This window comes from Homo sapiens, chromosome 1 (assembly GCF_000001405.40).
Source record: "Homo sapiens chromosome 1, GRCh38.p14 Primary Assembly".
Lineage (NCBI taxonomy): Eukaryota > Metazoa > Chordata > Mammalia > Primates > Hominidae > Homo > Homo sapiens.
In genome coordinates this window covers 146,308,117-146,332,135 of record NC_000001.11, presented here as the reverse complement: position 1 = coordinate 146,332,135, position 24,019 = coordinate 146,308,117, and the positions used below count along the sequence as shown (strand labels likewise).

The 24,019-nt window shown below is 37.1% G+C and overlaps 1 pseudogene; it reads left to right on the top strand.

Moving 5' to 3' along the window:
• Positions 1-16,579, top strand: part of SEC22B4P (SEC22 homolog B4, pseudogene) — a 61,006-nt pseudogene extending 44,427 nt beyond the window's left edge.
• Positions 16,580-24,019: the final 7,440 nt, after the last annotated feature.

Below are 24,019 nucleotides of genomic sequence, written 5' to 3'. Positions count from 1 at the left end.
GTTGATATATAGATATATAAATATCTCATATGTATAGAGCAAGCGGGAGAAAAAATCTCTAATCTCTCTTCCTTCCTGCTCTTTTTGGATTGCAAACTCTTCTCTCATAAGTACAAAAAGTAATGTTAACAAAGTAAAGAGAATTGGAAATAGTAGTGTTTTTGACCACTAGTGTTTTGTAATTTTAGAAAAAAAATTACTGAAATGTAACTTTTTATTTATATTGAGATGTTTTGACTCATACTCCAATCATACAGAAATAATAGATAAAATATGAAAAAGACTTCTTTTTACATACATAGCTGGATTAAAATATTAGAAATAATTTTCTTCCCTCAAAGGATCCCCTATTTAATAAACGGTGCTGGGAAAACTGGCTAGCCATATGTAGAAAGCTGAAACTGGATCCCTTTCTTACACCATACACAAAAATTAACTCAAGATGGATTAAAGACTTAAATGAAAGACCTAACACCATAAAAAACCCTAGAAGAAAACCTAGGCAATACCATTCAAGACATAGGCACGGGCAAAGACTTCATGACCAGAACACCAAAAGCAATGGCAACAAAAGCTAAAATAGACAAATGCAATCTAATTAAACTAAAGAGCTTCTGCACAGCAAAAGAAACTCTCATCAGAGTGAACGGGCAATCTAAAAAATAGGAGAAAAGTTTTGCAATATACCCGTCTAACAAAGGGCTAATATCCAGAATCTACAAAGAACTTCAACAAATTTACAAGAAAAAAACAACCCCATCAAAAAGTGGGCAAAGAATATGAACAGACACTTCTCAAAAGAAGACATTTATGCAGCCAACAGACACATAAAAAATGCTCATCATCTCTGGTCATCAGAGAAATGCATATCAAAACCACAATGAGATACCATCACATGCCAGTTAGAATGATGATCATTAAAAAGTCAGGAAACAACAGAAACTGGAGAGGATGTGGAGAAATAGGAATGCTTTTACACTGCTGGTGGGAGCGTAAATTAGTTCAACCATTGTGGAAAGCAGTGTGGCGATTCCTCAAGGATCTAGAACTAGAAATACCATTTGACCCAGCGATCCCATTACTGGGTGTATACCCAAAGGATTATACATCATGCTACTATAAAGATGTATACATGCACACGTATGTTAATTGTGGTGCTATTCACAATAGCAAAGACTTGGAACCAACCCAAATGTCCATCAGTGATAGACTGGATTAAAAAAATGTGGCACATATGTGCCATGGAATACTATGAAGCCATAAAAAAGGATAAGTTCATGTCCTTTGCAAGGACATGGATGAAGCTGGAAACCATCATTCTCAGCAAACTATCACAAGGACAGAAAACCAAACACCGCATGTTCTCACTCACAGATGGGAGTTGAACGATGAGAATGCATGGACACAGGGTGGGGAACATCACACACTGGGGCCTGTCAGGGGGTGGGGGGCTGGGGGACAGATAGCATTAGGAGAAATACCTAATGTAAATGACAAGTTGATGGGTACAGCAAACCAACATGGCACATGTATACCTATGTAACAAACCTGCATGTGATGCACACGTACCCTAGAACTTAAGATTAAAAAAAAAAATTTCTTCCCTCATGAGGTACAAAGCCAAGCATTACACTGGGGCCATGATAGTCCAGGTTGCTGAAAGATTTAGATCTAAAGACTGAAAATTGGGATATATATTGAGAGAGAGAGAGAGAGAGAGAGAACAAATGGTAACCTAAATTTAATAAAATAATAATAGACAAATTAGGGTAACAGGCATATGAGTATTTTTTGTTCTAACAATTCTTTTATTTTCAAACTTATCTATAATCTTACATTTATTTCCCAATAAAAAGGATTTTAAGTTAAAAAAAGAAAGTTTTTCTGTAGTAACATTTTCACAACTAGGGCCTTTAAGACTGAGGAAATACTCCAAGCTCTGAGCAAACTCAGTAAGTATAAATCCATATGTAGACATACCACAGTAAAATGCAAGATACTAAAGACTAATACAATATTTTCAAATCAACCAGAGATGGAAGGCAGATTACCTGCAAAGGAAGGACAATTACTTTATCACAGACTTCTCTTCATCAACGAGAACAGACAATACAGGAATAACATCTCCCAAGTTGTGAGGGAGACTAACAGATGACATGAAATTCTACGACCAAATAAAGCATAATTCAATGGGCAGCAGTTAACAGAATTAAGCTGTTTCCAGACATCTATGGAGAGATTTAACTCAAAGATGTCACTGTAAATTTGATTGTTGAGATGTAGTAATGCATACTTGGCAAGGTTATTGAATTAGTTAAACGATCTTCAAAGCTTAGGTCATGTATCTTCATTAAACACATGGTGCTTTGCATTTACTAAAGAAGGGCTTCCGTTTTCTCTCCAAATAAATCATTGCGACCTTAGCACCCCAAGTGTAAAAACCTCTTTTATTTCTATTCTTGATCTCTAGTCCCTGCTTATGTGTATGCATAAATGCATGACACCGTGCTTCTCTTTTAGTTATTTATTTCTAGAGATCATGTCTTTGAAAATCATTATATTCCCAACAACTATTTAGAGTGGTACTAAGCTAACTTGGTTTATGGTGTCAACCGCATAGCAGTTATTTGATTGGCCCATTCCTTTATAAAATATTTTATGCTTAGATGATGAACTCTACATAAATTCAGCCAGGAGAATGTTTTCCTTGGCAATCTCTGGGAGATTACAAATGTTCCTTTTTTTTTTTTTTGAGATGGAGTCTCGCTCTGTCTCCCAGGCTGGAGCCCAGTGGCGCGATCTCGGCTCACTGCAAGCTCCACCTCCTGGGTTCACGCCATTCTCTTGCCTCAGCCTCCCGAGTAGCTGGGACTACAGGTGCCCGCCACCACGCCCGGCTAATTTTTTTGTATTTTAGTAGAGACAGAGTTTCACCGTGTTAGCCAGGATGGTCTCGATCTCCTGACCTCATGATCCGCAAGCCTCGGCCTCCCAAAGTGTTGGGATTACAGGCGTGAGCCACCGTGCCCGGCCTACAAATATTACTATTAACTCCTCCTTCTGCTAAGAAATAAACCAAAATAAAATTATTCACAAATATAACTGTTTTGATCATGCTTTCAGATGATATGTAAAGTAGCCCACAGAAGGTAAATAATATTCAGGGGAAATAAATTATTACTTAAGAGTGGGTGCTGAGAAAAAGAAATGTGTGAGGTGTGAGGTAGGAAGTATGTGAGAAAAGCTAGGGCACAGTTGTGTCTTATATTTTTGTTAAAATCTGCCTGTTAAGACTTCCTGATTGGGTAATGGGAATGATACAGTAAAATACTCTTCCTCAGAGTGTCTGACACCATTGTGATAATTTACTACATAAAAGTACAAGTTACATTATATAAAAAGACAGAATGGCCTGGCTCAGTGGCTCACGCCTATAATCCCAGCACTTTGGGAGGCTGAGGCGGGCGGATCACGAGGTCAAGATATGAAGACCATCCTGGCCAACTAACGTGGTGAAACCCCGTCTCTACTAAAAATACAAAAATTAGCTGGGCATAGTGGCGCACGCCTGTAGTCCCAGCTGCTCGGGAGGCTGAGGCAGGAGAATGGCTTGAACCCGGGAGGCGGAGGTTGCAGTGAGCCGAGATAATGCCACTGCACTCCAGCCCGGGGGCAGAGCGAGACTCCGTCTCGACAAAAAAAAACCAAAAACAAAAAAAAAAAGAATATACATCTAATAATGGGAAGATGTTTGCTTTCTGATTCCAAGGATTTGCGGTTTTAAATTGACTCTCGTTTAGCCAGCCTCAAAGTATTTAGGCTAGATTTTTAAAAAAGTTTGCATGGTACAGAGATTTTGCTTTAAACTGTTGTCAGTGCTATTACTTTACAGACAACTTTGTCTTGCTTTTTATGTCTCACCAGCTACATTATTGAGCAGGGGGTGTGTGATTTGGTTTTATGTGAAGCTGCCTTCCCTAAGAAGTTGGCTTTTGCCTACCTAGAAGATTTGCACTCAGAATTTGATGAACAGCATGGAAAGAAGGTGCCCACTGTGTCCCAACCCTATTCCTTTATTGAATTTGGTAAGTTTTTGCCCCTCACTTCTCTCTATCAAGGGAGCAAACAATATGGAGAAGCTATTTGTTACACTGATATAATATTTATACATTTTTTCTGATGTTTACTTGCTGAAGTTTTAGCTTCTGCTTCCTTTTCCATTCCACTTCTTTTTGTCTTTTTGAGTGACTAAGGCTTTGTTCTGAAAAGTAATTTTCTCTAGTCTTTTGATCTTTCCCCCATAGAAATTGTTGCCTTTTGCCCTTTCTGTTATTTGGTTTGATTCTTCTTTAGAGTCACATGTGACAGGAACTTTGCTAAAGATCTACTTGATTGGCATATAATGGCTGAGTTCTTCTTTACCCCAGTCCACAGACTCACACTCACAATAAGGCTCATTTTATGGAGATCAGAATTGGGAAATCAGAAAGAATGATGTTTTGTTTCTTTTAGTAGAATAAGATCCTCTAATTAAAAAAACAAAACAGAACAAAGAAATAGAAGATACCTGGTACTCATGGTATTGGGGTATAATATTTACTACATTCAGGAATAGTGAGCATAGGTGTCTGTATTTGTACAAGAATTATAGAAAGACTAATTACTAATCAGACCTGGTAAAGTATCTGATGGTAAGGGATCAAAGGAAATGTCCTAAGTACAGTAAGTACAGGGAGTGAGAACAAGTAGGATCAGGCTATATCGCTGAAATTTTTAGTTAAAAGAGAAATTGGTTTTACTGGCTTAGAATTTTTGAAGTGTTTCAAGTTTGCTAGATAAATGGGTCATCTTGCTTTGGAAAAACACTCTAGTGTTTCATAACTATATACTCTCCAAGTGCTGCTTTATATAATGTCCAGTTTTTCAAATTTTATTTTTATAGACAGTAATACTCCCATAAACCTCCCTCAAAAATAAGACAAATGTATCAGGGTCATACAGGAAACAGATGGCACACCCAAATTAGCTTAAGGGATTATATACAAAGATATGACTAGGCTGTAGGAGAATTACAAGGTACAGTAACCTCTGACCAGTAGCATACTGGTTGTTACCATCCCTAGGCCTGAATGTATAAGGGGGAGGAGCAGTTTCTGAAACTGAAAAGGAGAAAATTTCTAGAGAAGGCCAACTTGAGAGGAGCGTAACTTTTGGTAGAGGGATACTTCCAGAAGAAGGTTATTTCCTTCTCTGAAAGAAGCCAGGGGAACAAATACCCGGACATCACTCACTGTCTGTTCTCCTTCTTCCCTACTGTTGGGGCTTCTTCATTGCCTGAACCTAACTGGCACAGAGCAAGGAGTCTATTGAGGCGCTTCATCCAAGTCAGCTTCCCAGTGCAGAAAGCAAGGTGCAGGAGGGCAGAGAGGAGATCTAAAGAGGCAAATGAAAGGGGTACAGCACACTTAAATTAAGATTTTTGCCAAAAGTTGAAAATATCTTTAATAATAAGTCGTTCTTCCTATAGTTTTGAGAAATACTGATATGAGCAAAAGATGGATGAGACTTCAGTTTTTATTTATTTATTTATTTACTTAGAGACAGAGTCTCGCTCTATTGCCCAGGCTGGGGTGCAGTGGCATGATTTTGGCTAACTGCAACCTCTGCCTCCTAGGTTCAAGTGATTCTTGTGCCTCAGCTTCCTGAATAGCTGGGACTAGAGGTGCACGCTGCCATGACCAGCTAGCTAATTTCGGTATTTTTGGTAGAGATGGGAATTTTGCCTTGTTGGCCAGGCTGGTCTCGAATTCCTGGCCTCAAGTGATCCACCCATCTTGGCCTCCCAAAATGCTGGGATTTATACGTGTGAGACACAGTGCCTGGCCGAGACTTCAGTTCAGTTTTATATTGGTATTTTGGAAAACTCCCTATTACATACTTGCTTTACCTGAGGTTTAAGAATGGAATGAAACTGGGAATGTATATTAGAGAAAATAAGGTTAAGTTTCTCAGCTTTTTAATGATCATGAGCCCTTTTGCCATGTTAGGCTGTAATAATGCTAGAGTGTTACCAGCATCCTTTTAAGGAATGTGTAGAGGTAAGTAACACTTAGCCTAAGGGTCCTCAGAATACTGTTTGAAAATTTCTGTTTTCAGGAAAGGCTTACTATAGTGGGTCTTAATTTCTCTAAGGATTCTGATAGCAGCCTTAGATAGCAAATACTTCTAATTTAAAGGTATTCAAAGGACATTTCTCCTGAATGGTCGTCTAATTATACCTTTACATCTTACAAATGAAATAATCAAAGCCTAGATTTTGATATTCAACCAAGAGTTTGGTTAACCATGGACAGTGGCAAATCCAGGAATAAAGTCAGAACTGTTTTGGTTTTTTTGTTTTTGTTTTTGAGACAGAGTCTTGCTCTGTCACCCAGGCTAAAGTGTGGTGGTGTGATCTCAGCTCACTGCAACCTCTGCCTCCCAAGTTCAAGTGATTCTCCTGGCTCAGCCTCCTGAGTAGCTGGGATTATAGGCGTGTGCCGCCACGCCTGGCTAACTTTTTATATTTTTAGTAGAGACGGGGTTTCACTGTGTTAGCCAGGATGGTCTCGATTTCCTGACCTCATGATTCACCTGCCTTGGCCTCCCAAAGTGCTGGGATTACAGGTGTGAGCCACTGCACCTGGCCAACTCAGAACTTTTAATTTCCTACCTCAGTACTTTGATGGCCATGAAAGAAATGGTCAGTTTTCTTCATCATTCTAGATACTTTCATTCAGAAAACCAAGAAGCTCTACATTGACAGTTGTGCTTGAAGAAACCTAGGCTCCATCAACACTGAATTGCAAGATGTGCAGAGGCTCATGGTGGCCAATATCGAAGAAGTGTTACAACGAGGAGAAGCACTCTCAGGTATCTAAAAGCAATGAGTCTTATGAAGAAATGGTTCTCATTCCATAGACAAGGATAGCTTATTTTGCAGTGCCTTTTATGCTATTAGATTCTACCTAGAACTGTTAAGAATTTATCTCCCAGAAGTACATTACATTACAATGCTTCCAATATATTTTTTTTCCTAGCATGATTAGTTTTTATTGAGTTGGAACAGTGTAAAGGACTCATCCATATTAGAAGCAATGATTATTTCTAAGATATTCACAAAATTAATTAAATTATGTAACTTGTATAAATTAAGGGAAATGAGTGAGAGAAAACTCAACAATGTATTGCAGTGGTTTTTTGAGTAGCCTCTTTGGGAGACTTTACTGCTGCCAGATCAATCTTTATAAAATGCCATTTTCATCAAGGCATTCCTCTCTGAAAAACTTTTAAATCTGGGACTACAAGATAAGATCCAGTCTGACTTATTTTTCCGTCAGTCAGCCATTGTTATTGAGAGCTTGTTATTTGTAAGGCGTTGTGCTCTACATATGGAAAATAAGGAAGATGCAAATGTCTGTCATTCTCTAGTTCACAAACATTCTTCTGTAGCCACACCAGCTTCTTTACTATCCTTAGTGGTCTATTCTGCCTTATGCTGGACCTGTTCTGTATGTAAGACCTCCATAAGAACTGTCTCTTTAAAGAACCTTTCTCTGATCCTTATAGCCTGTATCACACTAATCTCTTCTGTCCTTTAAACTCCTAAAGCACTTAGTAACATAATGGTTTTAGCACATATTACATGTATGCGTGTTTACCTAATTTACCTTAAATATATTTATTAAATACCTCTTACCATATTAAATATATATTTAATATATATTAAATATATATTTAATATATATTAAATATATTTCCATATAACATAAGTATATGTTTCATATATTTATATTAAAGTAGGCAAACATATTTGGATAATTAAATATTTTTATATAATTTCATATATTTTTTTGAGACAGAGTCTTGTTCTGTTGCCCAGGCTGGAGTGCAATGGCACGATCTTGGCTCACTGCAACCTCCATCTCCTGGGTTCAAGCGATCTTCCCACCTTATCCTCCTGAGTAGCTGGGGCTACAGGCATGTGCCACCACGCCTGGCTAATTTTTGTATTTTCTTAGTAGAGATGGGGTTTTGCCATGTTGTTCCGGCTGGTCACAAACTCCAGGGCTCAAGCAATCCACTCACTTCAGCTTCCCAAAGTGCTGGGATTACAGGCATGAGCCACAACACCCAGCCCTTTATATAATTTTAAAAGTGTAGGTAATTAGGTAAAATTAGGTTAAAAGTATATGTATATTTACCTGATATTTCAATATTACCTAAGTGTTTAATGTGGACATGTAAGCTCTTTAAAGATAGTGCTTATGTATTTTATATCTGTTTCACATACTCCTTATATATCCCCCACAGAAATGGTCACAAATAGTTTCCTTAATAAGTATTTTTGAATTCAGCCATGCTATATATTCATTAGTAAGTGAGTTTTCTTTTATTATGAACTACAAACTTTAACCTTTTTTTGAGTAGTGAGCAGTTATTCATTTACCTTCACACTCTTTAAATACCAAATTTTGAGTGAGTGAGTGTGTAAGGTTTTGTCATACAGACTTGCAATTCCTATATGGGATAAAGTAGACTAGCACAGGAATTTTTCTTGTATCACTCATGCAAGACTCTAAATTCCTTAAAGGCAGGGATCATGTATATTGTGATCACTGTTGTATCCTCAGCACTTCACATGGTGCCTGTCACATAAATATTTGTTAAATGACTTCTCCAAGCAATAGCTTTGTCTTTATGTTATCCTGTATTTCAAAACGTTCATATATAAATTCTCTCAACTATGACTTGTTTCATAGGGTCTAATAATTGTTCCTCTGCTGAGTTATTCTCAGCAGATTTAGATTCATTTAGCAAATGTTTATTGAGCACTAACTATATACCAGGCCCTGTTCTGGGCATTCAGGATATAGCAGCAAACACAATAATTTAAAATCCCTGTCCAGTGAAGTGTATATTCTTGTAGGCTCTGTAAAAAGATGCCCTGTGCATTGTCATGGTTATTTCTCAGTCCCTGACTCTTCTTCCGTGACTAGATGTTTTTCTTACTCATGTGATCAGTTGCTAATTCAGACGTGGCTGTCATGCCTGTGTTATTAAGTAACGCCATGTTTCCCAATCAAAACCAGTCTCTATTAAGCAACTCCAAATATTCCAAAAGCATTCTTTAAGGAAGAAACAACCGGATTGCAAAATAGTTTTTTCTGAAATTTCAAGAAGTGAAAAGTTTGATCAGAATTTATTATGTCAAATGGAGAGTTTGTGTTTATTATTAAAATATGCCCTATATTTTAATATGGTCTAGCTTGTGTCTATCTGGCTATTTCTCTAAGTGTTTAGTTAACTGTTATAAGAAGATAACAACATTACAAATGTCCTTGGGGGTGAAAAAACTTGCCAGAAAATACTAAAAAGCTTAATTTACTTGCGTTTTTTTTTGTAGTACTTATTGTATTTTAGTTACAACTTTCCTATGTCTTTTGAAATATAAATCCTGATAGCTTTAACTTCATAGTAGTCTCTACTATGTGGAGAATCTTAGAAATGTTAGCAGTCATCATTGAAGTATAGCTTAAGACTGTGTTTGGTAAATTGAATTTTCTGGTTATCTGAGTTTGTTTTACATGGATTATCATTATCGTTTTTCAAAATATAAGAGAATATGATTCAGACCATTAGAAGATTATGAAGATAATAATTATTAACATGTAATAATTATTATAATTTATCATGTGCAGGCATTGCTGCTCACTTTACAGGCAATCTCATGTACATACAACTTTATGACATAGTTACTGTTATTATCCCCAATTATAGATGAAGAAACTAGGTTTTAAATAGGTTACATGACTTGACCAATGTCACATAACTTGTACAGGTGATATCTGAACCAAAGAGTCTGAGGCCAGAACCTGCACTTCTAACCACCTTACTATATAGCCTCAAAAATTCAGACATAATCTGATCAGCATCATCAGTTAATTAGTATATGCAATGTTAGCCTCAAAATAAAAATGATGATTTAAGATTCATGGTTGTTGCAGTGCTGCTCATTTTGGTTATTTTTAATGCCTTAATACTTTCGGTAAAATACTTCCAGGGACTAATTAATGTTTTCCTTTTTTCCTCTTTGACAGCATTGGATTCAAAGGCTAACAATTTGTCCAGTCTGTCCAAGAAATACCGCCAGGATGCGAAGTACTTGAACATGCGTTCCACTTACGCCAAACTTGCAGCAGTAGCTGTATTTTTCATCATGTTAATAGTGTATGTCCGATTCTGGTGGCTGTGAAATAATGAATACAGTCACTGGTAAGGGAGAACCTAGAACCCAGTAGGTGTATATTTTCAGGAAACTGAGCTCACAGAGATGTGTATTAGAATCCAAGTGGAACTTCTGCCTCTAAAGACCTTGCAAGAAAAGAGATGTCCTGAAAATGAAAGGTTGCACCTCATTTAATGAAGCTTAACCCTATGTAGAAAGTCTCTTTCGGGGGCAGAGGCTTTCTCTGGGTGCCAAGCCATATATATTAGGGAATAGTAGATTGTTATTTCGTTTTTTCCCTCCCAGTGCATTTTAAAAACAGCACTGGCTGGGGCATTCTCATTCTCTGATGGAGCCATCAATGAGATTTAACTTAGTCAACCTGTGCTAGCAACATTCTGAAATTCCTTCAAAGAAGGCAGTCCTTTGGGAAGGTGTTTTTTTTTTTTTTTTTTTTTGACTCTAATCAACATTCCTTTTGTTGGTGACATTTGTGATTTTCAGTAATCTGAGTTTTTGATGGCCTTTTAAACAAGACTCCAGTATGTGAAGGTTAATTGCTGTGCTCCACAGATCTTGTCTATTGGCCCCTGTAGAAAGTTAACCTTTGTTGTTTTCCTTTTATAATTTGCTTATTGCACAATTGCTTTAGGGTAAGTGAATTATATTAAGATGCCTTGAAATTATAGCACTCCTTGATTAAGAAGCTAAAATGTTTCTCTCATTTACTCCTTAAACAAAAGACTTAAATTAGTTTGGGTCATTATTACTTTTATTTTGCAGCATTTGGTTTGTTATTAGTGTAAGAGCAAGTATAGGATATGGAGAGGCCCCTGGCTTCATGAGAACAAAGGCAGGCCCAGGTTATAATTACAGCTTTCTCCTGCCCCTTCTTTACTTTCTCTACCACAGTTTTCTCCACTGTTTGTTTTCCTCTTGCCACAATTTGCTAACACTTAAAAAATTTTCCTGCACCCAGTAGTTTCATATCCTGTAGACATCCTCTTAGGACATTCTCAAATTTCAAAATAAAAAATGTTCATCTATGTAGTTAATTAAAGTTAAAGTTTTTGCAGATCAACTACTCAAACTACTAAATACATTTACCTGAGAAAAAGTCTCTGAGAGCACTTCATTCCTGTTTTAGTTCGTGTAAATTCTCTGAGAATGTTCTGGAGATAGATAACTCATTTACAGTGGTTTCTATTAACTAATTAAAGTACCCATGATTTTTTCCTTTTCTGCTCAGGGATGATGGAGATTTCCTTTTACCTTTTTTAATGGGGTAAATTTTTTAATGGGGAAAATAGGCCTTTTAAATATTATTGCCAGGGTCTGCAATATAACTTAAAATTCCTGTACATACTGCAAATATTTCTTTAAATTGCACAGGAAAATGAGCAAACTTTTTATTTCTTAATATCTTTGGCAAAAAACTTTAACCAGTAAGCAATTTTATAACCCTGAGGGATCATCAAAGATACTATCCTGATTCCTGGTAAGGAAAAATATATTATTTCCTTATAACAAGGCAAGGAGAAATGCTATTTTATTCCTGATAATTTATATAACTAGAATAATTTTTTTCCTTTCTTTTATGGACCTAAATCTGCCAATTGGGAATTTTGTGCATGAAATATGAAGTTACTTTTTATAGATAATCAGTGCTTTTAAGTCCCTAAAAGGCTCCTGCTGAAGTAATGATGATGTTAATAATAAAAGCCTTTGAAAGGCTGAAAACCTACATAGTGGTACCATAGTATTTGGAGCTTCTATAGGAGTGGAGAGGGGCAGCTCATTGTTGAGAGTTGCATGCTGCAACCTAATGGTCAGCAATGAAAGAAATACTTGTAGAATGTTCACTTCAGTGTGAAGTTTTGTTATCTAGTTAATTTATATACATATATCCTTTGTAGATACATTTCTATCTAATCTTGTTGAGCTAATTAAGAAATAAGGGGTGGGGTAATTGTCAACAAAGGGAGAAGAAAGTGGTTTAAGATCAGGGCAGCAGAAAAATTAGAGAACAAGAATATCATAATATGGCTCCTGGTTTTCTTTATAAGAGACAGTGGGAAGATCTGACTAGATGAAATGTATCATCAACCAAACTGGCATCTAAAATAGAATGGGATAAATACTGTATGGGGTTATTGGAGGCATATTAAGAAAGGACACCTAATTTATTTTGGGAAGAAGTATGTTAAGAGAAGACTTTCTAGAGAAGGAGAATGGGGCATTCTAGGAAGAGTCAATGGCATGTGCAAAGGCATGAATAAAGACAGTGAGGCATATTTTGGAAATGTAACAGCTTGATTCAGCTTAGCCCATAGGGTAAGCATAGACAACAGAGGAGACTTGAGGAATGAGAACTAGATGGGTACACTATCATAAAGGGACTTGTCTATCATGCTGAGGAGTTTAGACCATCTTAATGGTAGTGGCCAAGGATGGCATCAGATTTATAGTTTCAAGTGATCATAATATTGGCATAAAAGATATATTAGGGAGGAAGCCTGAAGTAGGGAGATGAAAATAAGGAGCCATCAAAGGCAGAATGAAACTTAGGCAGATTTCAAGTGATTTTCAAAAATGATGTGATCAGAGGTACCAGATAATAACTATTACATAACACTTTCTTTGTTAGGAGCTTATTTCTCACACTGACCAAAGCTTTTGAAGTAAGTACTCTTTACACCACTATATAAATAAACCTTACAAAGGATTCTGCTTTGAGGCATGAGAGAGTTAAGTCATTTGCCCAAAGTCACAGAGTTAGAAAGTAATAGAGCTAAGATTTGAACCTAGGCAGTTTGGCTCCAGAGTCTGTGCTCTTACACTATATTACCACCAAGAGGTCAAATAAATACCAAAGAATGTATTTTCGAATTTAACAATGAGGAACTTAATCATACAGGCAGAAGTAATTCCAGAGCACCGGAGACAGAAGCCAGATTGCCATATGGGTTAAAGAGTGTGTAAACCACTAGGAAGTAAAGACATAGAACTACTCTCACAAGTGCTTTTCTGGTTATTGTGACGCTGAACTTCATGGCTTGTTTTAATTAAGACATCTTACAAGTGTCAAAATTTGGAAATATTTGGACACTGTACACTCTGGTTATTTAAATATCTAACAGCGGTTCTTGAGCATTTTGAGAAACCTTTGAAAATCTGATGAAAGGTATGTGCCATTACTCTAGAAAAATGTTCCTGTGTACATGCACATCAAGTATCACATACTGTTTCAGGCTGTTCAAAGACTACAAAGTCTGTTCATGACCTAATGGTCCATGTTCCCTCAGTTAAGAGCTCCAGAGATAAAGGATGTGGAACTCAAAGGTAAGTACCCAGAGCCTTGAAAACTCCATTTGTGACTTGGAAGAATTCTACAATTTGAATTAACTTTGTGGAGAGAGATATATTTTTGAAAAATTGTGTGTACCCAAAAAATTTCATATCAAATAATATTTTCCTGTAGTGCATTCAAGGATCTGGTTCCACAGCAAAAAATTGTTTTGGTCTCAGTTCCTCAAAATCACATTTAAGGAGCTTGAGATTTATATTTTCTACTTAATAAGTCTTACAAAAGCAAGTTAAGAAGGAAAATGGACAATCATTTCTGCACATATAGGGTTTAATAAAACATGTATAATAAAATATCTCATATTTTAAATTTCCACCTTATTGGTAGCTTTCATGACAAAGGGCTAGGGTGCTGGTGGCCATACAATTAAGGTTTTTGGTTAGTTAGTTAGCAGAACTGACTGACTCCTACCTGGTGGGTGTTTCTTTTGTTTGTTTGTTTGGTTGGTTGGTTTTTTCCCAGATGGCTCAGGAGGAAGGTAAATAGCAGTCATTGTATGTGTGACAGAGTTTGAGATAGAATGAGCATATTGAATCTCACATCCTGTTCTTATTACTGTCAGGCAGCGCTGACCTAGCAGTATAAAACTATCTGAAGCAATGTAGTCACTCAGTTCTCATAAAGTTTATTTCAAGTACTGTAACAATTCATGTTTGGATTAGAAAAGTCACTAGAAATTTGACTTCCATATAGTAATCTATACTTTTTTCTCTCATTTCCTTCATTTTTTGAGCCGTAAGTGTAAGGCATTTTGGTGGTATTATTACAATGGTTATGAGGAGTTTCTTTGCTTGCCCAAGGTCACATAGCTAGCAAGTTAAAGTAGATTCAAATCCAGGCCTGCTAGATACCAAATTATTATTTAAGAGTACTTTTCACTACTCCTAAATAATGACACAGATATGTTTGTCTTACACATTTCACTTTATTGTCAAGTTATTAGTATGTTTATTTTCAAAAGGTATTTTTTGCAATTTCTTTTTATTATTCCGTACTTTTTAAATTTACTTCATTATCACGTCTTCCTTTATTCTTTTTAAATAGTTTTTGCTTTTGTTATTTTGTTTTCCCTTTTTTACTCTTGGTTTGTAATACATCTTTCCTTATTTGCTCCTTTCTCATTTGATCTCAATGTTAATCCAACTGTTTTCCACATCTGATTCACTAAAATTTTAGCCCTTAAAAAAAAATTCCTGTTTTTCCTATCTCCTCTTGCCCATTCTCTTCTCCTTGCCTCACTTCTTTTATCTTTTTCCATTTTACTTTCATTTTTTGTTTCTCTAGATGTTGTTTTGACATATGAGTTAATGTACTGGTACAATTTTGCATCTGTAAATTAGAGCTTCAGAATCAACTGAGTGTATTTATTCTTTATTTTTAGGCCTAAATTTATCTTACCTTTTATTGATTTTATAATATACTATACTCTTTCATTTTAGTCTGCATATGTTAGCCAAAGAAGATATGCCCCTGTTTTAAGAAATCTCTGTAAAAAATGTCAAGTGTGACAAGAATTCTTCAAGAAACAAGCTCCTCTAGTTTGTCTTCTATATTTAGAGCTTCAACAGTTACCTATATTACTGGTAACTCCCAAATATACCTTCAAACTTGTTTTTTGGGCCCAAGTTTTTTGCTTCATAGATATCTGTTTTGAATATCCCATAAATAATTGCATCTAAAGCATACCTCCACTCCATTGTTCTCACAGATAAAACCAAACCTGTGCTTCTTCTTATATTTCTAGTATTTAAGCGTCACCTGCCACCCCTTTACCTGAGCTACAAGTCACGCATTGCATTAGACTCCTCTGCTTTCTTCTTTCACCTCTAACTAGACTATTAACCAAAAATTTTTAAATATAACTTTCAAAAGGTGGGGTTTTATTACATCATTTCCATCCTTTATGTTTGGGTTCGAGCCCTCATTAACTTTAACATGGATTCTTGGAGTACCCTCCTTACTGATTTTGTTACACGTGTCCCTCTTTTAGTCAGTACTACCATGATAATACCATGGATAATAATTTTTTCATTTTTATTTTTAGTCTTGCTCTGTCGCCCAGGCTAGAGTGCAGTGGCGCGATCTCAGCTCACTGCAACCTCCACCTCCCGGGTTCAAGTGATTCTCCTGCCTCAGCCTACTGAGTAGCTGGGATTACAGGCACCTGCCACAGCTCCTGGCTAATTTTTGTGTTTTTAGTAGAGATGGAGTTTCACCGTCTTGAACTCCTGACCTCATGATCCACCCTCCTCGGCCTCCCAAAGTGCTGGGATTACAGGCATGGGCCACTGCGCCCGGCCAATAATTTTTCTTTTTTTTGTGCTAATCATACTACATTTTCTTTAGAATAAAAGATCACATACTTCAGTTTGCCATTCGCAGTCTGGCCCCATTGTGCCATTCTAGACTTACCTCCTGCCACTCCCCACCAGCTTTGTTTTGTCTTAGCCACACAAAATAATCTAGCGTCTCTAACCAGTCAAACATTTTACCTTGTGCCTTGGCTCACTCTGTGCCTTTTCTCCAGAATATCTTTCTGTGTACTTTTCTCCCATCCTTTTACCTTTAAACCTGCTGCTATGGTTTGGATGTTGTTTGGCCCCTCCAAAACTCACGTTGTAGTTCAATTGCCAATGTAATAGTGTTGGGAGATGCTGCTTTTAAGAGGTAATTAGGTTGCTAAGATGGATTAACATCTTTCTCTTGACACTGAGACTGGGTTCTCCTGGGAATGGTTAGTTCCCAAGAGAGTGAGTTGTTATAAAACAGTGCTGCCTCTTCTATTTTGCGCTTTTTGTTTGCACAAACTCGGTCCCCTTCTGTTTCTCTACGATGTTTTGATGCAGCATGAGGCAGTCATGAGAACCCACCAGATACAGCTGCCTGATCCTGAATTTCCCAGCCAACAGAACCAAGTGCTAAATAAAACTCTTTTTAATAAGTTACCCACTCTCAGGTATTCTATTATCGCAACAGAAAACAGTTTAAGACACCTGCTAGGCTCCTAACCTTGAGGGGCTAGAAAACAAAGCCAGAGGTCCAGTACCAGCCTCCTCAGAGTTAGAATACACAGCTCATGAGTGCTGAGCTCAGCCTTGGCCCCTACAATCTTCCAGAAATGAGGCCACTTGGCTGAGCCCATTATATGCAACATTCAGACCCCCAAGGGCATCAAAGAAGACAAAAGCAGAAAAACCTATCCAAGAAACAGCAACTTCAAAGGTTGAAGCAACATCAGACCACACAGGTGAGAACCAGCACAAGAACTCCGGCAACTCAGAAAGCCAGAGTGCCTTCTTACCTTCAAGCAACTGCGCTATTTCCCCAACAGTGGTTCTTAACCAGGCTGACATGACAAAAATAGAGTTCTGAATATGGATAACCTTGAGGAACATAGATGCAAAAATCCTCAACGACTCAATTTGCTGGACTAGCAAACCAAGCCCAGCAGCATGTCAAAAACGAATCCACCACAATCAAGCAAGCTTTATCCCTGGGATGCAAGTTTGGTTCAACATATGCAAATCAATAAATGTGATTCATCACATAAACAACTAAAAACAAAAACCACATGGTCATCTCAATAGATGCAGAAAGGGCTTTCAATAAAATTCAACATCCCTTCATGTTAAAAACCCTCAGCAAACTAGGCATTAGAGGAACATACTTCAAAATAAGAGCCATCTATGATAAGCCCACAGCCAACATCATACCGAATGGGCCAAATGCTAGAAATACTCCCTGTGAGAACCAGAATAAGACAAAGATGCCCACTCTCACCAATCCTATTCAACATAGTACTGAGAGTCCTAGTCAGAGATAACAGGTTAGAGAAAGAAATATAAGACATCCAAGGAAAAGAGGAAGTCAAACTATCTCTGCAGACAATATGATTCTGTAGAAAACCCCATAGTCTTTGCCTAAAAGCTCTTTGATCTGATAAACAATTAGCAAAGTTTCAGGATACAAAATTAATGTACAAAAATTAGTGGCATTTCTATACACCAATAGCATTCAATCTGAGGGTCAAAATCAAGAATGCAATCTCATTCACAATAGCCACACACACACAAAAATACCTAGAAATATAGATAACGAGGTGAAAGATCTCTACAAGAAGAATTACAAAACACTACTCAAATCAGAGATGACACAAACAAATGGAAAAAGATTCCATGCTCATGGATAGGAAGAATTAGTGTTGTTAAAATGGCTGTACTTCGCAATGCAGTTTATGGATTCAATGCTATTCCTATGAAACTACCAGTGACATACTTCACAGCATTAGAAAAAAAAACTTTTAAAATTCATATGGAACTTAAAAAAGAGCCTGAATAGCCATAACAATCTTAAGCAAAATGAACAAAGCTGAAGGCATTACACTACCCAATTTCAACTATACTACAAGGCTTCGGTAACCAAAACAGCAGGGTACTGGTACAAAAACAGACACATAGACCAATGGAACGGAAAAGAGCCCAGAAATAATGCTGCACACCTATGATCTGATATTTGAAAAAAGTTGACAAAAACAAGCAATGAGAAAAGGACTCCCTATTCAATAAATGGTGCTGAAATAAGTGGCTAGCCATATGCATAAGATTGAAACTGGACCCCTTCCTTATGCCATATACAAAAATCAACTCATATGAAGTAGAGACTTAGATATAAAACCTAAAACTATAAAAGCCGTGGAAGATAGCCTGGGAAATACTATTCTGGAATAGGACCTGGCAAAGATTTCATAACAAAGATGCCAAAAACAATTGCAACTACAACAAAAATTGACAAATGGAATCTAATTAAAGAGCTTTAGCATAGCCAAAAACAAACAAACAAAACAGTGAACACGGTAAACAGATAACCTACAGAATGAGAGAAAATATTTGCAAACTATGCATCCTAGAGAAGTCTAATATCCAGAATTTATAAGGAACTTTATAAGCAAAAAACAACCTCATTAAAAAGTGGGCAAATGACACGAACAGACATTTTTCAAAAAGACATACATGTGGCCAAGAAGCATATGAAAAAATGTTCCACATCACTAATAATTAGAGAAATGCAAATCTAAACCACAATGAGATACCATCTCATACCAATCAGAACGGCTATTAAAAAGTCAAAAAGCAATAGATGCCGGCGTGGTTGCAGAGAAAATGGAACACTTATATAGTGCTAATGGGAATGTAAATTCGTTCAGCCGTTGTGCAAAGCACTTTGGTGATTTCTCAAAGAACCGGCAACAATTACCACTCGACCCAGCGATCCCATTATTGGATATATACCTAAAGGAATATAGATTGTTCTGCCATAAAGACACATGCACGCATATGTTCATCGCAGCACTATTCACGATAGCAAAGACATGGAATCAACCTAAATGCCCATCAGTGGTAGTCTGGATAAAGAAAATGTGGTACACGTACACCGTGGAATATACACAGCCATAAAAAAATAAGATTATGTTCTTTGCAGCAACATGGATGGAGCTGGAGGCAATTATCCCAAGCTAAATTATGTAGGAACAGAAAACCAAATACCGCATATTCTCACTTATAAGCGGGAGCTAAACATTGAGTACACATGTACACAAGGGAACAACAGACACCAAGACCTACTTAACGGTAGAGGGTGGGAGGAGGGAGAGGACAGAAAAACTACCTATTGGGTACTGTGCTTATTACCAGGTAACAAAATAATCTGTACACCAAAACCTTAAAGAAAAGTGTTTTAAAAATGTAAAATAAAGCATATAGCAAAACAAACAAGACACCTGGTAAAGTTCTGCTCTTCCTTCAAAGACCCAGCTCAAATGTCTCTTTCATAAAGCCTCTCTGACATTCTCATACCCCCCTTCTCTCTGACCTGGGAGAAGCTGTGTTTTCATTCTCCCACAATAACTTGTTCATATTTCTATTATAAAACCTACAAATTTAAACTAGCTGTCAGTGCATACTTGTTTGTCTCCTTGGCTATGTGCCTCATGAGATGCCTGGGATAGAGATCAATTATTATTCAATTTGAATCCTTGGCATTGGGTGCGGTGGCTGACACATTGGAGGTGGGCAACAAATATTCGTGGTATAAGTTCATTGAATTACAGAGATGTATGCATAAGTTTTTTGGAACTGGGTTTCATGAATCATAGGTACACACAATTTGAATAAAAGAAGGAAACAAAGTGGGGCAAAAGGGTGTAGGTCTAGTAATGAAATGGGAAAAGAAAGGCACATTGAAAAGTCGCAACAAAAGAGAGAACCAGTACAATTATATCAACATATAGTAAACACATTGGAGAAGGGAAAACAATACAGCAAGTGAAATTGATTCTTTGGTGGCAGAAACAATTGAAAGGTATGGAGGCAAAGAAGGAGGAGAAATTAAGGCATAGAGATAAATTAGACTTGGGGAGAAAGCACAGAAGTCAAATATAGCAACAGATCTTGGACTGGGAATGTTTCCAATTGACCATTATGCTTACGATTACTTTTATGTTGTGGAGACAATATTTAAGGAGCATTTCAGATCTGTTAACTAATTTTTTGAAAAAGTGACTCCAGTTCACTGATAAATACCTTGACCAATATGCCATATAAAGTAAGAAATATTTTACCGTACCCAAGAAACTGGTTTTACTGGCTTAGTTTTGACCAACTGATGGCAATTTGTACTTGCTAAACTCCCAATTTTTTACTTGCTGGTTGTGTAGGTAGGCAGTGAGGTTTGTTGGACTGGGCATGCAGGGACAAGCAGTTAGGCCAATACATGGACTGAAGATTATATCTATTTTTCTGCCTTTTGTTTAGCTATTTGCATAAATATACAGAGTGGGTTTATTTGCACACTTAGAGCTTTAGAATAAAAGAACTTTGACTTTCAAATTGGTTTTTCTTGATTTTTTAAAATTTTTATACTCCACTTTTTCTTCCGTCTTTCTCAAACTCATTTTTCCCTAGTAGCAGAGTTGAGACTTAATATTACAAAACTCTGCTTGCTTTAAAGAATCTAAGAAGAAGAAGAAGAAGAAGAAAAGACACTAAAGAACTTCCAAGCAGAAGTTTAAGAAGTTCTGCTATAGCCCATCCACTCGTTTGTGGAATTTAAATATATCCGTTTTTGCCACAATAACAGCGTAGCCTTGCTAGAATCATATACAAAGCAGCAGATTTCTTTCTATAAATTACTGGACACTGTGGTGTAATGTAGACATTGCTGAGGAGGGATGTAACTGCAACAGAAACAAATTACTTACATTGCATGCAGTAGGGAAGTGGGTGAAAAGAGCATTGAACTCTGAGTCGGGAGACGACTTCAAGGCCCAGCTCAGCACTCTAGCAGAACTTTAGGTAAGTTTTTTAGACACTATGTACTTCAGTTTCCCCATGTGAAAATGAGAATAACGTCTGTTCTGCCTACTTCACTTGAACTATTTGAGGATAAAAGAAGGTAAAATGCAATAATGGTCATGAAGATTTTATAAACCTTGAAGTGATGTACAAGTATACCATACTGTTTCACTTTTATTACTATTATAACTGTTTAAAAAAGCATTTGTGACCAGTACAATCCTGGCTTTTCTCTGGAGACTAACATCCAGTTTCATAGTTATTTTACTTTTGATAGGGAAAAGGGAATTATTCCTGTTATATATTGCAATATTTAGGATCCTCTAGCAATTTCTCAGGCTATGACTTCATGTTCCCAGAAGAGGGCAGCAACACTCCAAAGGCTCTGCCTTTTCCTCAATTAAAATGTCTAAAGCAGTTTTTCCTTGAGAGGAAAAGAACTATACTGTAAAGAATAGCCCTTTAAAAATGATGGTATTTAGGTGACAAAGCTAATCCTATTACAATAAATATAACATTCATTCCAAATAAGATTTTTCCTTTTCTCTGTCCTGTGAAGAAAATAATTGACTGTTTCTTCAATCTCATGTTAATTATTTGACTTATATTTCCAGAAACTCCTACCCATGTTTTTCCATTTAACTCTAGATTTGTAGATCCTACTTAGCACCAGTTTTTAAATAAATTGTTTTGTATGTGTAAGAGAAAAGGTGTTCAGGCCTGATTTATAGTTTAGGATGCCTACCTAAGTCCAAAGAGTGATCCTCAGCAGTGTCTAAATGTGTTCCTATCATAGAGTATATGTTTGTCATTCAGATAAAATGTTGTCTACATCTAATCTTTCTCATTCTTTCATTATTCAAATATCCCCGTGCCTTTCTATCTTTAGTCAGTGAATTATCTTGTAATGACAAGAGCAGCTAACATTTGAACTGTTCTTAACTCACTTAGGCCGGAGGTTGCAATTTTTTTTTGTCAAAAAATCAGACCTTGGTGATAACTTGAGCAGTAGGCTATAAGTAACTAGTAGGCTAGCCTACTATAAGTAGGCTAGGCATATTAATAGCGTATAAGGTGCTCTCACAGACATGTTTTCCCTTTGATACTCACCATAGCCCTGTGAAGTTGATAGCTACTATCCCCCATTTTACAGATAAATTTTCTAATCTGTAATCAAAATAGCTGCTCTTTGCTTGAAGAAAAAGTCCAGAGGGACACCCTATATGTCAAGAGAGCTCCAGGGGGTGGGTAATTTCTTTCATAATTGCTAGAAGAGCCAATTCTGAATATGAGGCTTTTTCTGTCTGCTTTATTACAACCAGAGATGGAATAGGAAGGCTTTCAGTTACAGTTTATCAATTCCTTCTGCTTTTGCCAGTTAATCTCTAGCTTTACTCTTTTGAAAAAACTACCTGTTTCCCACTCCACTTCTGCTACCACCACTACCAAGTCAGAGTCCTCTTTCTATTCCAGCCAAACCTCTTCCTGTTCTTGAGAATTGCATCACATTCTTGGCTTAACGTAACCAACACCCCCACATTGGCACCAGGGAGTGTGTAGCCCTTCTTTATTGGCTGAAAGTTCTTGTCTGGTGAGCATGGAATAAGTCACTCACTTCCTGAATTTCAGCCCTGGCTAAATTTGCTTCTGGAAAAACATATATATATTCCTCAGATTTTTGTCTGTTGGTTTGCAAATCTCCTTCACTCCAGCCCTGTCCTGGAATGAGCAAGATTTACCAAATAGGGACAGCGTGAAAGGGAATTTAGAGGGTAGAGGTAGAGGGAAAAGGAATAGTATGTGTAGCTTGCTGAATGAGATGTCTGCTCTTGCTGTTTCCATTTCTTCACTTCTCAAACAATTTTTAACCCAATCTAAACTGGCATCAGCTCCCATTGTATTGAAAGGGCTTTCACTCAGGACACTAACGCCCCCCCCCCACCTCCCATATTACTAAATCCAGTGGATACATCAGCCTTGATCTTACTTGGCATCAGGGTAGCATGTGATGCTTTTGGTCACATCCTCTTTGATAGATTCACTCTTCCTTTGCACTATTATTTTTTCTCTATCTTAGTCATGGGTCTTCAGCATCCTGTGCAAGCTCCTCTTTACTCCTAAAGTACTGGTGTTCCTCAGAACCCTGTTCTATATCAGCCTCTTTTCTCTCTAAACATTTTCTGTGAGAAATATCATCCCTTTCCATGGCATTATTGAGATCCATCTGCCAATTATTTCCAAATCTCTATCTTCCCTGACCTCTTTTGACTGCTTTCTAGAACTTCTTCAATTAGAAATTCCTGAAAGCCTGTTAACCAACTCCCTCCCTCAAACCTATTCCTCCAATAATGCTCCTCATCCAAACATATGCCACACCATCTACCCAGTTTTTCTAGGCAGAAATGTAGGATTCATCCTTAATGCCTCTTTTGCTCACCTTCCACATTCAGTCAATAACCAAATTCAGTATAATCTACATATTTGAATCCATCAGTTTCTCCCTGTCCCCACTGGCCTAAGTGATCACCATCTATGTGGCGTTTTGCACATCCCTTTGCTAGTTTCCTGCCCCCAGGTTTTCTCCCCTTGGATCATTTTCCACTAACCACTAGATGGTTCTTTATGTAAATGCAGTTCTGTAAATTCACCACTTGTGTTTAAAATCCTTTAGTTGCTTCTCACCGTCCTTAGGATGGAGTCCGAACTTCTTATCACGGTTCATAAGCCTCTCATGATCAGTAACTTGCCATCAGTCTGAACTCCACTCACACTGACCTCCAGTGTTTCAAACATACCCTGCTTCCTTTTGCCTCTAGGCCTTCACAGATGCTGTTTCCTCTGCTCGGAGCGTTCTACTGTAGGGCCTCTAACATCTGTAGACTAAATTCTAGCCTCAAATTATCAGTTATCTTATTCCTGAATCAGAACTGAACTGGGATTCTTAATATTTTTTTTATTAATTCTTGAATTAAAGCCAGGATTTATATTATCCTATATATTTCTTTGAAAAATGCAAAGATATTTTCTAATGAAACT